General features: G+C 46.0%; 1 protein-coding gene and 2 long non-coding RNA genes across 3 annotated transcripts in view; 2 read left to right on the top strand and 1 right to left on the bottom strand.

The window, feature by feature from the left end:
- Positions 1-21,638, bottom strand: part of MRTFB (myocardin related transcription factor B) — a 272,006-nt gene that overhangs the window by 245,335 nt on the left and 5,033 nt on the right. The window lies entirely within an intron of this gene.
- On the top strand, positions 368-2,565 carry LINC02186 (long intergenic non-protein coding RNA 2186). The gene is made up of 3 exons (NR_110915.1): positions 368-512; positions 958-1,111; positions 1,980-2,565. It is a non-coding gene; the product is annotated as a long intergenic non-protein coding RNA 2186 (long non-coding RNA).
- LINC02185 (long intergenic non-protein coding RNA 2185) lies at positions 5,427-12,169 on the top strand. Its single transcript, NR_110909.1, has 3 exons — positions 5,427-5,583; positions 7,987-8,073; positions 11,648-12,169. It is a non-coding gene; the product is annotated as a long intergenic non-protein coding RNA 2185 (long non-coding RNA).

The following is a 21,638-nucleotide window of genomic DNA, read 5'->3' as shown; positions in this document are numbered from 1 at the left end:
CTTATGGAAATATATTTTTTAAAATAAGAAGTCATAGAGATTCAAAGCATGAGAGGGATTTGTCCTGCTGCTGTAGGAGCGAGCCACATGGGAAGCATAAGAAAGAATGCAGGCTGCCTCTACGATCAAAGACCAGCCCCCAGCAGAAAAGAGTCACCTCAGTCCTACAACCACGAAGAACTGAATTCAGCCAACAACTTAATTCACCCCCAGAGCTGGTCCTGCCAACAGATTGATCTTATCCTTGTGAGACTCTAACAGAGGACACAGCTGAGCCACATGCTATCCATGGGCTTCTGACCTCCAGAACTGTGACATAACAAACGGGTGTCATCTTAAGCTGGTGTTAGTGCCACTGCACTACAAGTGAATAGCAGGGCTTGGTCTAAAAATATCTCCTCCACTGACATACCACATGGGTTGATATTCCTGCTGTCAGAGGCACACCTTGAAATTAAGGTGTCTTCCTACAAAAAGTCTTGTTGTTAAGTTCAGACACTGTCTGAGATGAGGTAAGGCATTAGCAGCCTATCAGTAATTACCATGCAACCAGAGGAGTTTCCCACCCTGAAATACAGAAGAGCCATATTTTGGTGCAGAGTCCAGAAGTTCCAAACAGAGGAGGATCCTGCCCTGAAAGGGAAGCTCCAGATAGGAGACAGAAGAGGCAAGGCCTTGAGTAGCATACAAGGGTTAAGGGCTCATTGGCAACAGGAAGGAGAATGGTCTCCATTATAATTTCATCTGGAGCTGCCGTCATCTGGCAGCCAAGAGCCTTACTGCCTTTACATCTGATGTTCCTTGTGCCAAGAATGCCTTTCTCTCAGCTTTTCTTGGGGGTGGCTCCTTCTTTCATGCAGGGTCAGCTTATCAGAAAGGCCTTCCGTGACCACCTGGCTAAAGTGATGCCCTTCTCCATGACCCTGTTACTCTCTGCGATGGTCTTTGAATTTTCAGGTATTTATAATTCCTGCCCCAAATTTGGCTATAAGCTTCAAGAATACTGGGACCTGGCTTGTTTACTGAAGCATCTCTAGAGCCACAACAATGGGTGAAACACCATGGACAGTTAGCAAATATTTGCTAAGCAAATGAAAGACTACACGACAAGGTAATGTTTGACAAATGCAATAAAAAATAAATAAATAAAGGATGAAATTCTATTAGGGTGTAGAGCAGGATGGAAGAGGATTCATTGAAAAGGTCAAGGATGCTTGCATGGGAGGCAGAGTGTTTGACCCAGATGGGATTTGTTCCAGGGGAGGGGAAGCTAACACAAGCAAAGGCAAGGTCATGGGACAGTGGAGGGGGTACCCAGTCAGTGGGTGTCAATCCAGTTTGGCCAGAATGAGGATTGCATAGACAGGGTGAATATACTTTAAAGCTCATAAAGCTTAAGCTGAAGGGTTTATCACATGCTTAGGTACTGTCAAGGCCCTGATAGCGCCCTAATAAGCGTCTCACGTGATCAATGTTTCTGTAACATTTGCAAGAATAGGATAGTTCAACCGCAATCAATTAAGACTGATGTTTCCTTCCACCTCACTTCCCTTCTATTTGTCCCATCTTACTCCCTCTGTGTTGGGCAGCATTGGAATTTCTGTAAGCCTTTTTTGGATCTATAATAGCTGAGGGAATTTGAACCCAAACATGTGGTTTGGGTTCAGCGGGATCGATTAACGCTGTTCGCAGTCACTTCCTTATAGAGTTAAGTAATTGCTAGCTGGCTTAATGTAGAAATGGTTTCCAGAAATATGCTTACTACTCACTGGGCCAACTCACCTGGAAATAGGACGTGAAGCTTGCACTGCAGCTTGAATATTCCCAAGTATGTGGGTCATGGAGGAGAAACAAGGTTTGAGGATGTACAGAGCCAGAAGTTAATCTGTAGAAAATTATTGCAAAAATTTCGTATATGAAAAAAAACTTGATAGAGATTGTGATGGTTAATTTTATGTGTCAACCTGACTTGGCTTCAGAGCAAAAGAAGTGCAGGAATGGGCCCATGCTCATGGAATTCACTGGTCTTACCATGTTCGTCATGATGCTGAAGCAGCTGGCTTCATAGAATATTGTAACAGCCCTTTGAAGACTCAATTACAGCACCAGCTAAGTAGTAATACCTTGGAGGGCTGGGGCAAGTTTCTCCAGAAGGCTGAATATGCTCTGAATTAGTATCCAATATATGGTGCTATTTCTCCCCTAGCCGGGATTCACAGATCCAGGAATCAACGGGGTGGAAATGGGAGTGGCACCAGTCACCATCACCCCTAGCGACCCACTAGCAAAATGTTTTTTTCCTGTTCTTGAGACTTTATGCTTTGCTGGCCTAGAGGTCTTAGTTCCAGAGGGAAGAATGCTGCCACCAGAAGACAAAACAATGATTTCACTGAGCTGGAAGTTAAGACTGCCACCCCGCCACTTGGGGCTCTTCATGCCTTTGAGTCAACAGGCTAAGAGAGGAAGAGAAGGAAGGAATAGCCAATGATCAGTAACTGTGCAGAGCCAGGATCAAAAACTCAAATGCCCACAGGGGCCAGGTAATAAAGCAAGTAAATGAAGGCATTTGCAATGTTAAACTGATGGGCAGAGTTTTTACTTAAATAAATGTCTGCTTTCTTAAAAAAAAAAATATGTGGCTTCTTTGGTCTAGCTTTCATTTTCATGGGTACAAGAATGATTTATTGGCCTTAAGGGATATGATGACTTTGAAAGCGCAATGATCCTGGACTATGGATTCTGTGTGTTAGTGCTGGGGACTGGTGGGGGCTGTGGTGAACCGGAGAATTTTCCAGCTCCAGCTCATGATGCCAGGTGCAAATGGGCCTGGTTTTATCAGACCTGATGTCCCAAGAGAAGCCATACAGCCTGATTTTCATGTGAACTCCTAATTTCTACACATGCATTTATTTATTTACTTTAAGAATAATACGTAGTCCAGAAGATATATCTGTGAGCCAGATACAGAACCATGTTGGATCTAGAATTAATGAGCTCAGTGAAAATAAACAATAAAACTAAAATCATAAAGAGGTTGGTGATGAACACGTGTGTATTTAATATATGCCAAGTACTGTTCTAAGTGCCTTGCCTAAATGAACTCATGTAGGCTTCACTGCAACCCTGTAAAGTTAGATATTATTCCCTTTTTTCTAATTGGGGAAACTGAAGCTCAGAGAGGCCCAAGTTCATGTAGCTATAAGCGGTGGAGCCAGGATTTACAACAAGCAGTGCAGTTCCAGAGCTTGGATTCTTCCAGAAAAGCCCTCTGGATTCCACACTCAGGAAGAGGGGTTATTATCCTAGAGACTGAGGGTGGATTTCAGGAGGCACATGGAATCCTGAAATTCCATATATGTTTTTATGTGGATACAAGAGTGTGTTTTTCTTGGAAAGGAAGCTTTCATAAAGTTCTCAAAGGGAGGCCAAGTACAGTGACTCATGCCTGTAACCCCAGCACTTTGGGAGGTCGAGGCAGGAGGATTGCTTGGGGCCTTGAGTTCAAGACCAATCTGGGCAACATAGCAAGAACCCATTTCTATAGAAAAGTTTTTAAAAAATTAGCCAGACATGGTAGCACATGCCTATTGTCCCAGCTACTTAGAGGCTGAGGCAGGAGGATCACTTGAACCCAGGAGTTTGAGGAGGTTGCAGTGAGCTGTGATCACACAGTGCACTCTAGCCCGGGAGAAAGAGAGAGACCCTGTCTCAAAAAAAAAAAAAAAAAAAAAAATATATATATATATATATATATATACACACACACACACACACACAAATACACACACACACACACATATATACATATATATATATATATATATATATATATATATATATATATATATATACTGTAGTCAGTCAGTTCTCTTTTCGTTGCAAGGGACACAAAACTCATACCATAGAGGTTTCACACGAACAAACACAATTTACATTTCATATAATGAAAAAGCTCAATAATTCAGGCACAACTGGATTCCAGAGCTCAAGTAATAAAATCACAACTCTGTTTCCATTCATCTCTTGTTCCAGTTTTTGCTGCAGGCCATTCTCCAATTCTCTCTTTCTGCTGTTAAGAAGACTGCAGCAGGCCGGGCGCGGTGGCTCACGCCTGTAATCCCAGCATTTTGGGAGGCCGAGGGGGGCGGATCACAAGGTCAGGAGATCGAGACCATCCTGGCTAACATGGTGAAACCCCGTCTCTATTAAAAATACAAAAAATTAGCCGGGTGTGGTGGCGGGCGCCTGTAGTCCCAGCTACTTGGGAGGCTGACGCAGGAGAATGGTGTGAACCCGGGAGGTGGAGCTTGTAGTGAGCCGAGATTGCTCCACTGCACTCCAGCCTGGGCAACAGAGCGAGACTCCGTCTCAAAAAAAAAAAAAAAAAAGAAGAAGACTGCAGCAGCTTTGGCCCAATATCAAGCTAGGTTCTATTTGAAAGGAATATGATTACATCTCAGAAATGCTTGTAAAAGTCTTGTTGCATCTCATTGGCCTAAACTAAATGACATACTCAGAGTTAAACCAATTGCTTATGATGAAGGGAATGTGATGATCTAATTGGCCAATTCTGAATCACATGTTCACATCTGGAGCCAATCAATACCATCCCAACCACCATACGGCCTGGGAATAGGTCAGGGTCTTTTTTTTTTTTTTTTTTTTTTTTTTGAGGCAGAGTTTCCCTCTTGTTACCCACGATGGAGTGCAGTGGTGTGATCTCGGCTCGCCGCAACCTCCGCCTCCTGGGTTCAAGCCATTCTCCTGCCTCAGCCTCCCGAGTACCTGGGATTACAGGCATGCGCCGCCACTCCTGGCTAATTTTTGTATTTTTAGTAGAGACAGCGTTTCTCCATGTTGCTCAGGCTGGTCTCGAACTCCCGACCTCAGGTGATCCACCCACTTCAGGCTCCCAAAGTACTGGGATTACAGGCGTGAGCCACCGCGCCCAGCCTAGGTCAGAGTCCTTTAAGGGAGGTATGAAAGGACCACAAATATCCATCATCGATAGTTACTGATGGAGGGTTATCTACTATGCCTTGGAGAATTGAGTGGGACCCACCTAAAAAAAATCATATTTAAAACCACTGCAAAAGTTGCAAGTTCCATGTCATTTTTTTTTTTCTGACTGGGAGGAGCCTTATTCCAGGGTCTTCTAGGTGTTATTGGTCAGATGGTGACTTGATTGCTGCTCTCTAAATAGAGCTTTCACATCCGAGATGACTCTTCTAACTTTCTACAGAGCTCCCACATCTGTTCCTTCATTTGATCTAAATTTAACAGCATTCCTATGAGTCAGAGAAGTGAAGTAACTTGTTTACAGTCACACAGCCAAGCCAAACTTCCTGCCTCCCAGCTTACAAACAGAGCAGTGGGTCCACCCATCTTGATCCTGGGGTACTGACAAGAAATATTTTGGAGAAGTTAGATAGGGTAGAGGCAGAAGTAGACGCAATTAAACATGAAGGATTGTGAAGGCAAAAGATGAACCAGCCAGCCTAGTCTCTGGATGCATAAGCTCCAAGTGTGGAGGAGACCCGGAGAGAAAAGCAGACTGTTCTCTGTGTTTACCTGTAAGCACAGGTAAGTACAGAACCTTCTGGGAAAGCCCACTGATTTTGGTGGCAACAGCCTTCTTCAAGTGAAGACAGGAGGGAGTGAGCCTGCATCTTTAAGGATCACACAGTCTCATTTTAATTATTAAGTTGCTGCATTATTAACCGATCAGCTGTGTGCGGCAGAAAACCAAGGGTCAGAACTCCAGGGCAACGATCCATTCCTGGTGCCACCTCCAGCCCAGTAGTTTCGAACTCTTCTCGGGGCCCTTTCAGAACTTGATGAATGATAGCGAGACTTCCTTCCAGAAAAGCGCAAAATTTGTCTGCAATTTCAGGATTCGGCTAGGAATACGGCTGCAGGTATTTCCTGCCGGTGTGTTGAGGGGCTTTCCACATCCGGTCTCATGGAGTCCCAGGTCCCCTATATTTCTTGGTCTCTTTCTGAGTAATGATAACTCCTAAAGGTGGATGCAGGGAGAGGAGGAAGGGGAAGAGATGAGGAGGTAGGACTTAACAGCACAGGCCTGAATTATTTGGGGAAGAGAGGAAAATAAAGTTCTCTTTGCTGAATTGCCTTGCACAAGGCACTGGTCAAACAGAACTCTAAGCGGATAGTCCCACGGATGAATGTGCATGCCTGTGTGCATTCGTTTCCAAACTTCAGCCATGCAGAGACACCTCCAAGCCTTTTGTTTCATTTCACTTGCATTGTGGCTGTTTCCCTTTAAAGCAATACACTTACACTTACATTTCTTTCCCAGGGAAACTTTATATTACTACCAGACATGTAGAGCCGCAAATGTTATTTGAAAGGGATTAAACACTCAGAAAACCAAACAATAGTATGAAATCCTAGCTAGCCTCGATAACTGTCCTTCACTCTGAGCCCCAAGATGTACTTTCTATTTAAACAAAAAAAGAGGCAGGGTGTGGGGAGTGTGGAGGTGTTGGGGGATGAGAATAGCAAGGAAAAGAGATGTTAGACACCGAACTGAGAGTTTTTTATTTTTTATTTTTTTGAGATGGAGTCTTGCCCTGTCGCCAGGCTGGAGTGCAGTGGCACGATCTCAGCTCACTACAACCTCCGCCTTCTGGGTTCAAGCAATTCTCCCTGCCTCAGCCTCCTGAGTAGCTGGGATTACAGGCACCCACCACCATGCCCGGCTAATTTTCTTTTTTTCTTTTTTGCATTTTTAGTAGAGACGGGGTTTCACCATGTTGGCCAGGCTGGTCTCGAACTCCTGACCTCAGGTGATCCACCTGTCTTGGCCTCCCAAAGTGCTGAGATTACAGGCGTGAGCCACTGCGCCTGGCTTTTTTTTTTCTTTTTGAGACAAGAGTCTCACCATGTTGCCCATGTTGGAGCGCAGTGGCGCAATCACTGCTCACTGTAGCCTCTGCCTCCCAGGTTCAAGCAATTCTCCTGCCTCAGCCTGCCAAATAGCTGGGACTGTAGGCGTGTGCCACCATGCCCAGCTAACTATTACTATTTTTTTTTAATTTGTAGAGACAAGGTCTCACTATGTTGCCTGGGTTGGTTTCAAACTCCTGGCCTCAAGTGATCCTCCCATCCCAGCCTCCCCAAAGTGCTGGGATTACAGGCATGAGCCACCTTGCCCGGCACTGAGACTCTTGATATTATCAGGACTGAAATGATTGCAAGAAGACTGTCACTTTCTCACCAGTCTTCACTCTTACTTCATTCTCCACGCAATTGGGAAACACCGTGATTTATTTAACAAATATTTATTCAGTTGCCTGCTAAGTGTTCTTGGCCCTAGGGGAGAGGAGGGGAGGGCATGGGGAATAGACATGGGTCCTGCCCTTCTGGAGGGAATATTTTCATGGTGGAGACAGACAAACGACTAAGCGAAAAATAAAATGATTTGAAATGGGGTTGAGTACCGTTTAAAAAACTAACAAGGGGTTACAATAGTGAGTTGTTCAGGCGTGGGAGGTGCGAGGGTGGACTTCACATGCTGGAGGCAAGATCAGGAGGTAATTTGGTCCTCCAGTGAGTGAGACCTGCGTTTCCAATAGAAAAGTCACGTTCAGGGTTGGATTCTTAAGCAGTGGGAAAGTGGTTAGCAGCTGTAACTTGATATCCCAGGCATAATCTGAAGGACACTACAGAGACCTGCTCTTTGCCCCTGATTCAATCAGAAAGCAAAGCAGATGTTGTATTAATAGTTTTCCAGTCCAATGGCCAAGAGAAAACAAAATATGTCATACATGTGGTTGTATTTAAAGGCAAGATTACAACACATGTTCAACAAACGTTCGCTGTTGCTGGAGCAAGGAATTCCATTCGTAATCGCAGCTGAGTTAATCTAATTAACTGCAAATGAAGATGCCTGTTTTCAAGTGCAGCCAACACAGTCAGGGTACACAGTATTTACAATGTTTTCCCCTCTTCTTTCCTTGCAAGGCCGCAACCTGCCATGCTGTTTTTAAATGCCCAAGAGCTGGTGACAAGAGGGTTTCCCTTTGCCATCTGGACCTGATTGCCTTAGAGGTAAAGATTCAATACCCTTAAGAAGTTAGATTCTAAAAGATTATAAATTGGTGCCACTGCTTTTGATTGCAATTGATCAATTTCCGGATAGAGATTGCACAATCCATGAAGACACACAACACTCTCAGAAGTCACTGCTCCATGCTGTGCCCCTCATCCCTGCCTGGGAGCTCGGTATCTCTGCCTCCCACCTTGCTAACCAGCACCTCTGCCTTCACTCAGAGCGCTCAGGACATAGCTGTAAGCCACTCAAAAACAGTTCTTGAAATCTCAAGTTCAATACTGGCCTCCTAAATCCTAGCAATTCCCAGAGGAGTGAGAGGTGGGAGGTGGCAAGGATGAAAGGCTGATTTTAGCTCTGCATTTGGGGCCTCTTGAATCATCTTTATTTGATGGGAAACTGGGAAGACTGGGGGAGGATAACGTATTAAGCTTATTCCATTGAAAAGACCTCACTAAGATATCAGGAAAAAGTCAGATGATAATATTAGATTTACAAACCACAGGCGGTTTGCCTTCTCATCCCCTACAGGCTGAAAGCTCCAGGGCCATGACATTTTAGGCACCCTGAGGCAGAGGGGTTAGAGTATGGGCTTTGGACTCAGGCAGCCCTGAGTTCAAATCCCAGTTCTACCATTTACTGCATGTTAAACGTTCATACATTGCTTAACCCCCTGAGCTTCCATTTTCTCATCTGGGAAATGGGTATGACACCATCTGCTTCTCAGAGTTGTCCTGAGGATGGGAAATGATGCCTATGAAAATGTCAAGGTCAGCCGGGCGCGGTGGCTCACGCCTGTTATCCCAGCACTTTGGGAGGCCAAGGTGGGCAGATCTCGAGGTCAGGAGATCGAGACCATCCTGGCTAACACGGAGAAACCCCATCTCTACTAAAAATACAAAAAATTAGCCAGGCGTGGTGGCAGGTGCCTGTAGTCCCAGCTACTTGGGAGGCTGAGGCAGGAGAATCGCTTGAACCCGGGAGGCAGAGGTTGCAGTGAGCTGAGATTCCACCACTGCACTCCAGCCTGGGTGACAGAGCGAGACTCTGTCTCAAAAAAAAAAAAAAAAAGAAAGAAAGAAAAAGAAAATGTCAAGGTTGTTGCCTGCCCGAGACTCTGTCTCAAAAAAAAAAAAAGAAAAAAAAGAAAAAGAAAATGTCAAGGTCGTTGCCTGCCCTGTAGTTTGCACCTGCGTTGAGTAAACAGTACGTTCTCGCTGCCACCCTCACCTTCTCCAGATTTTCACTTTTCCCTCCCACTTTCCTCTGGAGGCTGCCTGCACTCTAAGCCATCTCCATGATGTCATCTAACCCAGATCTTTCCAATTCTTCCTAAGACCAGACATTTTTCAGGGGCAATGCTGGGTGACAGCCATTAGTCCAAGCTGTGGCCAAGGAAAGTGCTCTATCCCTGTCCAAGGGCAATTCCCAAGTGGGTTCCCTGTAACAATAACGAATGCCTGTGAGCATTCCTTGCAAGAATTATTATTATTATTTGTGAGACGGAGTCTCACTCTGTTGCTTAGGCTGGAGTCCAGTGGCATGATCTTGGCTCACTGCAACCTCCACCTTCTGGGTTCAAGTGATTCTTCTGCTTCAGCCTCCCCAGTAGTTGGGATTACAGGCGCCCACCACCACGCCCAGCTAATTTTTGTATTTTTAGTAGAGACGGGGTTTCACCATGTTGGCCAGGCTGACCTCAAGTGATCTGCCCGCCTCAGCCTCCCAAAGTGCTGGGATTACAGGCGTGAGCCACCACACCTGGCAATAATAATTTTATTTTAAAAGGAATTCTGTGCTCTTATTAATTTAGGAAATACTTAGGGATTCACAGTGCACATTAGCATATTAAGGGTTCTGAGAAATCCTGTAGCAAATAAACCCATTTAGCTTTGTTTATGCTAACTTTCCCACTTGAGCTGACCTGGCCACATCATGTTATCCCTCTTCTTTTCTCAGAGTGCTTTCCTTTAACTCCTCTCAATTCATCCTCCCAAAACCCTCTCACCCACTTTCACAGATGTGGAAATGGGGTTCAGAGAGGTGAAGTGACTTGCCCATGATGGCTCAGCTGGGTAGCACCAGAACCAGCTGCTTTCTTCCTGAGTCCAAGGCTCTTTTCTCTACATCTGGAAGAAACAGCTGAATACATCCCTTTCTGGCTAAACAACCACAGAATCTGTCAATCATTGCCTGGGCTCCTGGGATGACATCGCCCAACAATTTCATTTTCTCAACAATGGGAAAACCAGAAAAGGGAAGAGATTTGTCCAAAAGTGACAGGAACAGGGGTGGCAGAGCCAGAACTGGCACCCAGCCTACTAACGCCCAGGCCAGGCCATCTTCACCTTATGCCTGGGGCCCACCTGTCTGGCTCAGACCCCTCAGTCATCTTCATTACAGCTTTCTTCCCTCCAATACTAGAATACACTGTCCAATAGATCTTTCTGTGGTAACAGAAATGTTCTATAGCTGTGCTATCCAATACGGTAACCACTAACTACATGTGGCTATTGAGATGTATCTAGTGCAAATAGGAAGTAAATGTTTAATGCTATTTAATTTTACTTAATTTACACTTGAATGGCCACATGTGGCTAATGCCTACCATATTGGACAAGGCAACTCTAGAGGTCAGAAATGAAGGCCAGGCATGGTGGCTCATGCCTATAATCCCAGCATTTTGGGAGGCTGAGGCAGGAGGATTGCCTGAGCCCAGGAGTTCGAGACCAGCCTAGGCAACATAGGGAGACCTCATCTGTATAAAAATAGCCAGGCATGGTGGCACGCACCTGTAATCCCAGCACTGTGGGAAGCTGAAGTGGGAGGATCACTTGAGTCCACGAGTTCAAGACCAGCCTGGGCAACATGGCAAATCCCCATCTCTACAAAAAATTAAAAAATTATGGTAGCCTGAGCCTGTGGCCCCAGCTACTCGGGAAGCTGAGGCAGGGGGATTGCTTGAAGTTGAGGCTGCAGTGAGCCATGATCCTGCCATTGCACCCCAGCCTGGGTGACAGAGCAAGATCCTGTCTCAAAAAAGAAAATAAATCATATCATAGCAAGTCTACTGAGATCCACTCCATGTAATTATCATATGAATAGAAGATCCTTGTAAGAACTGTTGAGGCTAAACTGCCTGGACCTTGTTGGGGGCTAAATTCCCTTTCATCAGGGCACAACCTGAGATGTCTTTGCTCAAGCTATTTCTTCCTTCCCTGGCAGCATCCTACCCAGCTTCTAATCTAAGCTCAAACACACCCTCCTTCAGGAAGATTTGCTGTTCTACCTTCTCCCCACCAAGCAGAGTGAAGGGATTCTTCTTTGGAACTCCCACTCTCCTTTATTTATCTCCAGATGGATGAAAAAGGAAGAGGGTTTCTGTTTTGCTAAAAGCCCTCTGGTGAGCAAGTGGATGAAAGAGGAGAGAGTTTGCCTGGGGCAGGGGTGGAAGGGGGAGTCGTGGCAGGGGCAAATGCTAGGTAGCTTGAGAGAGATAAAGAAGATGTAATTAGAGAAGAGGGGTGATATGTGATTTAACCTTCTCCTTTATCTGCCCTACAACATCTTTAGTGAAAGTCGACATTGCAAACCACAGTGACACGTGGATAAAACTCACGTTGTTGGGGGGAGAAGAGCAAAACATATGCTTCACAATAAAAACACTCAGTATCCTAGGAATAGGAGGGAACTTCCTCAACCAGATAAAGGGCATCTATGAAAAACCCAGAGCTAACATCACACTTAATCGTGAAAGACTGAAAGCTTTCCCTCTAAAATCAGAAACAAGAAAAGGATGTCTACTACTGCCACTGCTATTCAACATTGTTCTGGAAAATTCTAGGCAGAACAAGTAGGCAAGAGAAAAGAAGAGGTATCCAGATTGGAAAGGAAGAAATAAAACTGTCTCTGTTTGACAGTTGTCATAACCTTGTACATAGAAGATTATGAAGAAGCTACCAAAAACTATTTGAATGACTAAACAAGTTTAGTATGGTTGCAGGATACAAGATCAATATGCAAAAACCAGCTGTAGTTCTTCTATATGTTGAAAAGAAGAAAATTTAGAACGAAATTAAGAAAAATTCATTCACAAGAGCATCAAAAAGGATAAAAAATAAGGCCAGGCATGGTGGCTCATGCCAGTTAATCCCAGCACTATGGGAGGCTGAGGAAGGAGGATCACTCAAGCCCAGGAGTTTGAGACCACCTGAGCAACACGGCAAGACTCTATCTCTACCAAAAATTTTAAAAAATTAGCCAGGTGTAGTGGCCATGCCTGCAGTCCTAGTTACTCAGGAGGTTGAGGTGGGAGGATCACTTGAACTCAGGAGATTGAGGCTGCAGTGAGCTATGATCTGGCCACTGTACTCCAGCCTGGGTGTCAGAGAGAGAGACCCTGTCTCTAAATGAAAATAAATAAATACATAAAATTTTAAAAAAGAATGAAATACTTAGGAATACATTTAACCAAAGAAGTATGAGGCTTTTTACATTGCAAAACTATATAACATTGTTGAAAGAAACTAAAGAAGACCTAAATAAATGGAAAGACATCCCATGTTTATAGATGGAAAAGTTTAATATTAAGATAGCAAAACTTCTCAAATTGATCTACAGATTCAATGCCATCCTTTCAAAATACCAGCTAACTTTTTTGCAGAAGTTAACAAACCAATCCTAAAATTCATATGGAAATTCAAGAGAATCAGAGCAGTTAACCTTCAAAAAGAACAAAGTTGGAGGGTTCATACTTCCTGAGTACTAAAACTTAGTACAAAGCTATAGTAATCAGATACTATGAAATTGACATAAGGACAGACATATAGATCACTTGACTAGGCTTGACAGTCCAGAAATAAACCTTCACATTTCTGATCAATTGATTTTCTACGAGGCAGCCAACACAATTCTGTTTTAAATATGGTGGTAGGACAACGGAGTAGCTACATTCAAAAGAATGAAGTGAGACCCTTAACTCACACCATAAACAAAAACTAATTCAAAATGGATCAAAGACCTAAATGCAAGCATTAAAACTATAAAACTCTTAGAAGAAAACATAGGAGGAAATCTTCATGACCTTGGATTAGTCAATGGATTCTAAGATATGATACCCAAAGCATAAGCAACAAAAGAAAAAATAGAAAAATTGGACTTTATTTTTTTAAGAGATGGGGTCTTGTTATGTTGCCCAGGCTGGACTTGAAATCCTAGGCTCAAGTGATCCTCCTACCTCAGCCTCCTGAGTTGCTGGGACTACAAACATGTACCGCCATGCCCAGCTAAATTGGACTTTAAAATGGAAAACTTTTGTGCTTCAAAGACGTCAAAAAAGTGAAGACAACCCACAGAATGAGAGAAAATTTTCACAAATTGTATATCTGATAAGAGACTTGTGCCTAGAATCTATAAAGAATGATTACCACTCAATAATAAAAAGACAAATAACCCCATTAAAAACAGGCAAAGGATCTGAATAGACGTTTCTCCAAAGAAGATAAATAAATGGCCGATAAACACTTGAAAAGATGCTCAACATCATTTGCCATCAGGGAAAAGCAAATCAAAACCATGATGAGATGATGAGATACCACTTCACACCCACTAGGGTGGCTATAATAAAAAAGACAGATCGTAATAACTGTTGGCAAGGAGGTAGTGAAATTCGAACCATCATCACACATTGCTGGTGGGAATGTAAAGTAGCACAGAGCTTTGAAAAACTGTTTGGCAGTTTCTCAAAAACTTAGAGTTACCATATGACTCAGCAACTTCCCTCGTAGGTATATAGAAGAGAAATGAAAACATATGTCCACACAAAAACTTGTACATGAATGTTCATAGCCGTATTATTCATAATAGCCAAAAGTGGAAATCACCCAAATGGTAAACTGATGAGTGAATAAATAAAATGTGCTTTATACATATGATGAAACATTCTTTGTCAATAATGAAGAACTGATCCCTGCCGCAACATGGGGGAACTTAAAAGCATGATGTTAAGTGAAGGAAGTCAGATTCAAAGGTCCATGATTCCATTATAAATGGCATTCCATCTGTGGAATTCCATATATGGAACGTCTAGAATAGGAACACTTCCTTTCTATAGAGACAGAAAGGAAATTAGGAGTTGCCAAGAGAGGATGGGGAGACTGGTGGGTGATGGCTGAGAAGGTGGCCGTGTTTCTTTTTGGGGTAACGAAAGTGTTCTGAAATTGATTGTAGTGATGGCAGTACAACTCTGAATTTACTGAAAGCCATTGACTTGTACATTTTAAATTGGTGACTTGTACGGTGTACGAATTACATCTCAATAAAGCTGGTTTTCTTTTCTTTGTTTCTTTATTTTAATAGACAGGGTCTCACTCTGTTGCCCAGGCCGGAGTGCAGTGGTGCGATCATAGCTCACTGCAGCCTTGAACTCTTGAGCTCAAGCAATCCCCCCACCTCAGCCTCCCAAGTAGCTGAGACTATAGGCATTTGCCACCATACCCAGCTAATTTTGTTTATTTTTTGTAGAGATGAGGTCTTGCTATGTTGCCCAGGCTGGTCTTGAACTCCTTGGCTCAAGTAATCCTCTTGCCTTGGCCTTCCAAATTGCTGGAATTACAGGCATGAGCCACCACACCCAGCTAATAAAGCTCTTTAAAAAAAAAAAAGTTGCATATGGATACATACAACATATCATTTATATGAAAATATTGAAACATGCAAACAATACTATTGTTTAGAACACATACAAGGGCAGCGAACGCAGAAAGACATGCATGTGGATTATAAGGGCACAAATGGTTAGTGCATGAGAGAGACACAGGCTGCTTCAACTATAATTCTAACGTTTCTTTTTTTTTTTTTGAGACAGAGTCTCACTCTGCTGCCCAGGCTGGAGTGCAGTGGCGTGATCTCAGCTCACTGCAACCTCTGCCTCTGGTCAAGCGATTCTTATGCCTCAGCCTCCGGAGTAGCCATGATTACAGGCGCGTGCTACCACAACCAGCTAATTTTTGTATTTTTTTTTTTCTTTTGAGACGAGTTTTGCTCTTGTTGCCCAGGCTGGAGTGCAATGACACAATCTCGGCTCGCTGCAACCTCCGCCTCCCGGCTTCAAGTGGTTCTCCTGCCTCAGCCTCCCAAGTAGCTGGGATTATAGGCATGCGCCACCACGCCCAGCTAATTTTTCTGTATTTAGTAGAGACAAGTTTTCATCATGTTGGTCAGGCTGGTCTCGAACTCTTGATCTCAGGTGATCCACCCGCTTCAGCCTCCTAAAGTGCTGGGATTACAGGTGTGAGCCACCACACCCGGCTAATTTTTGTATTTTTAGCAGAGATGCGGTTTCACCATGTTGGCCAGGATGGTCTCCAACTCCTGATCTCAAGTGACCCACCCGCCTCAGCCTCTCAAAGTGCTGGGATTACAGGCATGAGCCACCACACCCAGCCGTAACATTCATTCTTAAGCTTGGCAGTGGAACATGATATTATCCCACATACCTTTTCTGTTTGCTTGAAATTCTTTGTGAAATAATTTCCCAGGCATTTTCCAATGCTGCAGAAACTGGACATGTGTATTTGATGGATGAATTGGGGGACTGGCCTAAGGGGGCCCTGGACTGGAAAAGCTGGTCCCTTTCAGGTTCCCCACACTCAATAAAACATTTCCTGTATTGAATCCAGCAATCTCTGGGACCATCTCCGGAACATGCTTTCCCATAGTTGGTGTTCTGCAGAAAATAGTACGGCCTTTGCAACCATCCAGACAGCCCTGGTTTGAGTCCCCGCTCTGCCCTCATTACCAGCATGGCCTCTCAACAATTACTAAATACCTCTGGGCTTTACTTTCCCATCTGCTAAATGGGAATCATACCACCTGCTCCTTGAAACTAGTGATGATGGAATGCAGAAGCCCTTGCAAGGTGCCTGGCTTCCCCTGCCTGCTGAGGACGAGGCTCTCACTCTCTGCTGAATCTTTCTGGGTGATGCAGGTTGTACTGGACCCTACATTCCTTTGCACGGTGTGTGATCGGCCATCAATCAGTACTCCCTGAGTAGAACTGACTTTAAGAGCCTCAACTTCCTTCCTCCCTTCCTTACTACTTTGAAAAGCCAAGGGAACCAAAGGCTTCTGAAGAGAGCTCCCTTCATTACTTTAAAAAACAAAGAAATGTAGAAATAAGCTGGCTCTGTCATTCTCCATGGATCGTTTTTGTGTTCTCAGCTGTTGTTCATCAGTTCCTGGAGGCTCACAGGGCAGTGCCAGCCCCCAGGGGCCAAGGAATGGGATGATGGTGTGTGAGGATCTGGATGTAGCCTTCCCACCTCCAGTCATGCAGGCTCCTTCAGCCCTTCCTGGAGCACAGAGAGTTGGATGCCTTGGCCCAGGCCCTTGGCAGTGAGATTTAGTCCCTGCTGATTGCAGCCCAGCCCCTGGGGGAGAACCGGGCCTCAGAAACTGAGACTGAGATCCAGGTGGACAGATGGGAGCTGGTTCTATGCTGACCAGGGTAGATGGAAATGCTGACTGCCCAGAGGAGCTTCTGGAGAAAGCTGTCATGGAGGTAATTCCAGTGACTGAACAGAACCCAGGAAGTGCATTCTCTGAGCTTTGGGCCCTGAAGCTTCCTCTTCCAAATGTCAGTTGCAGCACAGAGCTCAGCACTCGGCCATTCCTTCACTCCCTCTGGGACTTGGCTGGTTTGTTTTGGGAAGGTTGCAGTCCCTGTGTCTGGCTCAGGTCTCAATGTCATCCAAAGTCTTTGTGGCCAATGGGAAAGGGAGCAGGGAGACAGAGCCCCATGGGGCCCCGTGGGCTGTGTCCTGGCCATCCTGGCCAGTGGGGGAGAGCCTGATCATGGTGCCCCTGAATGTCCCCAAAGGAGGTCAGAGCACAGGCCTTCTTTACGCCACTTCCACCCGACCCACAGTAACCCCACCGTGACTCCCTGCGGTTGCAACTTAGCTGAAAAGCGATACATCATTCTAGCTTCACCCGTGGACCTCTGGGATCCCTTGAGGCCCCATCTGTTCAGTGCCTGACCCTGATTAACCTGTGGTCCTTCTGGCCTAGGGCCTGGCATCATGGAACAGGATGGGCGGCTTTGGGAACCAAGGGAAAAGTGACAGTCCATTCCCTCCACCCCGGTTACTTGTCTGCGGTCCAGCTAGCCATTCTCCCATCCACTGGATGAAGGTCCTACAGAAATCAAGGTCCGGGGCTGCCACCAAGCCTTCTGGCTTCTCCAAGGAGCTCCTGGGGCTCATGGCTTGCTGTCCACAGTCCCTGCCTGCCTCCCACCAGTCCTCCATTCTGCTGCCAAAACCACCCAACGAACCCTCAAATGCAACTGTCTCACAAACCCGCATTATGGACCCTGCTTGGCTCTCCTCCACAGACTGGAGGCCCACAGATGGGTTTTTGCTTGTCCTGCATTGAGATTTTTAAAAATCTGGAAGTTGCCCAGGTTCCCTTGAAACACCAGTTGGCTGGAGCTAGTGCAAGGCCTCCTTAGGCAGGTACTTAGGGAACAGTCCTCACCATTCCCTATCGTCTCACATCCAGCCTCATTCCCTCATGAAATGCAGTGTTTGGTGCCTGCATACTTTTGAGTTTCCCCCCTCTAGTCTCCAGGCAAAGGCTATTGTAGCATGGCAGGGAGGGAAGGAAGAAGGAAAGAAGTGTAGAGGAAGGAAGGAAGGAAGGGAGGGAGGGAGGGAGGGAGGGAGGGAGGCAGGCAGGCAGGCAGGCCGGCCGGCCCCAGCTCTGCTGGTGAATGCAGAGGGGCTCAAGCAGTGGTCTTCCCTGCCAGGACCTACGTGCATGCTCTGCAGAGCAGGCTGGGAGACGCCTCTGTCGGGAACTGCCATTGCACTGCTGTGGCTCTGGGAGCAGCAAACTGCCTGGGGGCTGTTCTCTGATTTCCAAACCACGGCAGGGAAGAGCACTGTGAGCGTGCGGGGGTGGAGGGTGGAGAGAGACAAGAAAGCAGGAGCAGAGGGAAGTGGAAGGGGCAGAGGCGTGCTGCTTAGCAACCGCGGAAGAAAATTTAGAGAAGTGACAGGACCATTTCTCCCTGTGCCTGAAAGGGAGGATTAAAAAGAAAGAAACAAAAAACTCGTCACACGCCTACACTTGCTCATCTTGTTGTGGCGGCTCTCGGAGTGTTGGCTGGAATTCACAGGGCTCCTCTGCAAGGGAGGGCCATTGTGGAGGATGCCTGGCCAGCCACGTGTGATGTGGGAAAAGCTACAAAAAACTACGTCCTCAATAGCTCAAGGGGGACCATCTTTGTGGCCCCTCAAGGGGAGGGAGTGAAGCCTTGCAAGAAAGATGTAAGGACACAACCTCACCTGTCTCATCTTTTCTCTCTCTCACTTCTTCCTCCTAAGTCTACCAACATCTAGAGAGAAAGGTGTCGGAGTCCTGTTCTCCATCTTTCTCCCAGAACCTCACGAACAGCCCCAACCCCATTCCTTCCTCCCCACCGAGAATTCTCTGTTGCTTTTCTTTCTTAATTTGATTTTCTCTGGCTCAGAATCGAGATCAAAAGAGGAAATTCTTTCCAGCCTTTTAGGAATAATTCCCAGAATCTCCCCCTGGAAATGCATACGTAATTACCATAATTATTTTTAAAGAAATCTTTCGTGTTCTCTTACCCGCTTCTTTTCCATCTCTCCTGCAGGCTTGGGGAGGAGGGGAGAGAGAGGAAGCTTCAAGAGTGTCTTTGTGGTTGCTGGTTGACCAGTATAAACGGTATTTACACATTTAGAGTGGCAGACTCACCAGTACGTGAGAGAATTGTCGATGATGCAGGCAACTTACATGAAATGTACCCCTCCAGCATTCAACGCAGCAGAATCACCTAGTAGAAGTTATTCTCTTTCTAATTTGTTTTCAGTTGTTTTAATTTCATCGAGTCTCAAGTTGGTGCTAGCCTAGGTCATTAACACCTCCCGGACACTTGCTAACCTTGCCTTTTTTTTTTTTCCCGGACGGAGTCTTGCTCTGTCACCCAGGCTGGAGTGCAGTGGCATCATCTCGGCTCACTGCAACCTCCGCCTCCTGGATTCAAGCGATTCTCCTGCCTCAGCCTCCCAAGTAGCTGGGATTACAGGCACCCCCAACTTTGGCCAATTAATTTTGGTATTTTTAGTAGAGACAGGGTTTCACCATGTTGGCCAGGCTGGTCTTGAACTCCTGACCTCAGGTGATCCACCCATCTCAGCCTCCCAAAGTACTGGGATTACAGGTATGAGCCACCATGCCTGGCCTAATCTTGCCTTTTAGCAACCATGACAGCACCAGTCTTCAGGCTTACAGCGAGCGAGAGCAACCAGCTATCTTTTAATCATAGTATTGCTTTTGGTTGTATTTATTTTCTACAGACCATGAGAGGGGCTTTTTGTTATGGCTGGTTCTTTTTAGAGGAAAGACAAATAATGAATCAGTAATAATTGAGTTGGAACAAGGATACAGTGCCTCATGGCAGAGGCCTGAAAAAGAGCCCAGATTTCCAGCTCCTATTCAGCGAAGTGGGTTCCCCAGGTGGCAGGCTGCAGATCAAGCTTGGGGAAGGTTCTGGTCTGAGGTCAGTGGGTCCAGCTGGTCAGCAGATGGCAACGAGGGAACTTTGGATGAGAGTTGTTGTCGGAGCCCGCCGGCCTGGTTTTGCAGCCTGCTTGAAGCCCGTCTCTTCCCTGGGATGACAGAAGCCAGTTCATCAGTGTTCACCGTGGGACACGAGGCTGAGGAGAGTGGGTGGCTGCTGAAGTCACCTTTGCTTCTGGCGGCCAAACCTGATTTTGCTCTGGGCGATCATTGTTCACTACTCTCAGATCTGGGTTTGAGCAGACTGGACCCACCTCGGGCCATCCGCGCTTGTCTTCGTTGCTTTGGGTACGGTGATGGGTTCTAGATGGGTAGTGAGATGCAAAGAGGCTTTTTCTGGGAATGCTGGGGCTGGATCTTTCCCACTGGCTTTGAACCCAAGAAGGGGAGATGCCAGAACCCCTGTATCCCCTATGAGGAGGGCGCTCACAGCAGATAATGGAGCCGAGAAACCCAATCCTGATGGTATCGGTTCCATCCTGGATCCAGCTGTGCCCGAAGCTAGGCTCTACCCTTGGCCGCCTTTGGAGCTACCCACCAAGCCAATAAATTCCCCTTTCATGTAATCCAGTGAGGATCAGTGTTTCGGTTGCTTGCAACCACAAGCGTCTTAACTGATGAAATGGCTCATTGCAAATCCTTGGCCACTGAGAGAGAAAGAACTCAAAGGGCAGGTACTGCGGACATGGGTGAGGGACGTAGTCGCTATACCCATACACCAGCATAGGAAAAGCTGTCATTGTCACAGGAAGCTCCAACATTTAGATGATCATGTATCAGGCACAGGCCAAGGGCCTGGCATGCAATGGTTTATTTAATCCTACGTTGGTTTATTTTGATCACCATTTTAAAGATTAGAAAACTGAGGCTCAGAGACCTTCTGTGGACCTCAGTGGCAGAGCTGGGTTGGGTTCCTTGACACTGTGTCGTCCCAGCCACCCTTCTGTAGTAAGCAAGTAGGTGGCTCACTGGCAAATACAAAACTCAGACACTGTGTGATGGGAAGGGGGACAAAGGGGACAGAGAGGTGTGGTTGTCAGGAGACACACAATGATACTTGTGTCCCAGGTGATGTGAACGCCACCCCCAGGAGCTGTGTGTACCCAGCCTGGATGGCTGTCCACAAGCCCTGCAGAGAGGGAATCAAACTGCTTTTACTCCTGATTGAAGATGGAAAGGCAGAAAAGGCCCTGGCTTTAGATCAGAACACATTAGCACTAAAAAGCTGTGTGATTTGGGGAAAATCATTTCATCTTTCCAAGCCCCACTGCTTTTCCCAACTGGGAAATGGGGAGACCCCGGCCCTTGACTCACTCACCTCACTGAGCTCCTGGAGCATCAGATGTGAAAGGTGATTTGCAGGATAAAAAGAGGGGCTACGGGATGGAGGGGATCAATCCCTTGACTTGCCAGCGGTGAAAGAGCAGGTGTAGACAGATAGATGTAAATCAATGACCTATGCGTCCTCCTCCCCCGCCGGGGGCTGGGAAGGGGCAGTCCAAGGGGTGACCCGAAAGGAACCCTTCTGTCCCCGAAGCAGAGAGAGATAACTGTGAAGCCAGAGAAGCGAGTGCTGCTACAGGCGCTTGGGAGTTTATTTTTACCCTGTTATCTCTATCCTGAAATGTCAGGCTTAGAGCCGCCTCTCTCTCTCTCTGTCTCTCCAGCCCCCACCCCAATGTGGCAACGCAGCCTGGAAACAGGCACCCTCTCCTCCTCTGCTTCCTCTGCCTTTCCATGAGAGTCACAGTGCTATGGTGACAGGAGGCATGGAAACACTGAAATAGAGAAGGGGGAGGCGAGACCATTTATTTGGGTCCTGGAACAGGCTTACTTCCTCCTAGAAACTGAAGGTGCAGAGGAGGCCCTCAGTGTTGTTGGGTGCCTATTGCAATGTTTCTATCATATAGGCTCTTTATGCAGCAAGGAAACCCCACTTACATTGGCTTATATAATA

This window comes from Homo sapiens, chromosome 16 (genome assembly GCF_000001405.40).
Source record: "Homo sapiens chromosome 16, GRCh38.p14 Primary Assembly".
In the NCBI taxonomy this organism is placed as follows: domain Eukaryota; kingdom Metazoa; phylum Chordata; class Mammalia; order Primates; family Hominidae; genus Homo; species Homo sapiens.
Note: the sequence above shows the minus strand (reverse complement) of the source record. Positions and strands in the feature narration are given on the sequence as shown.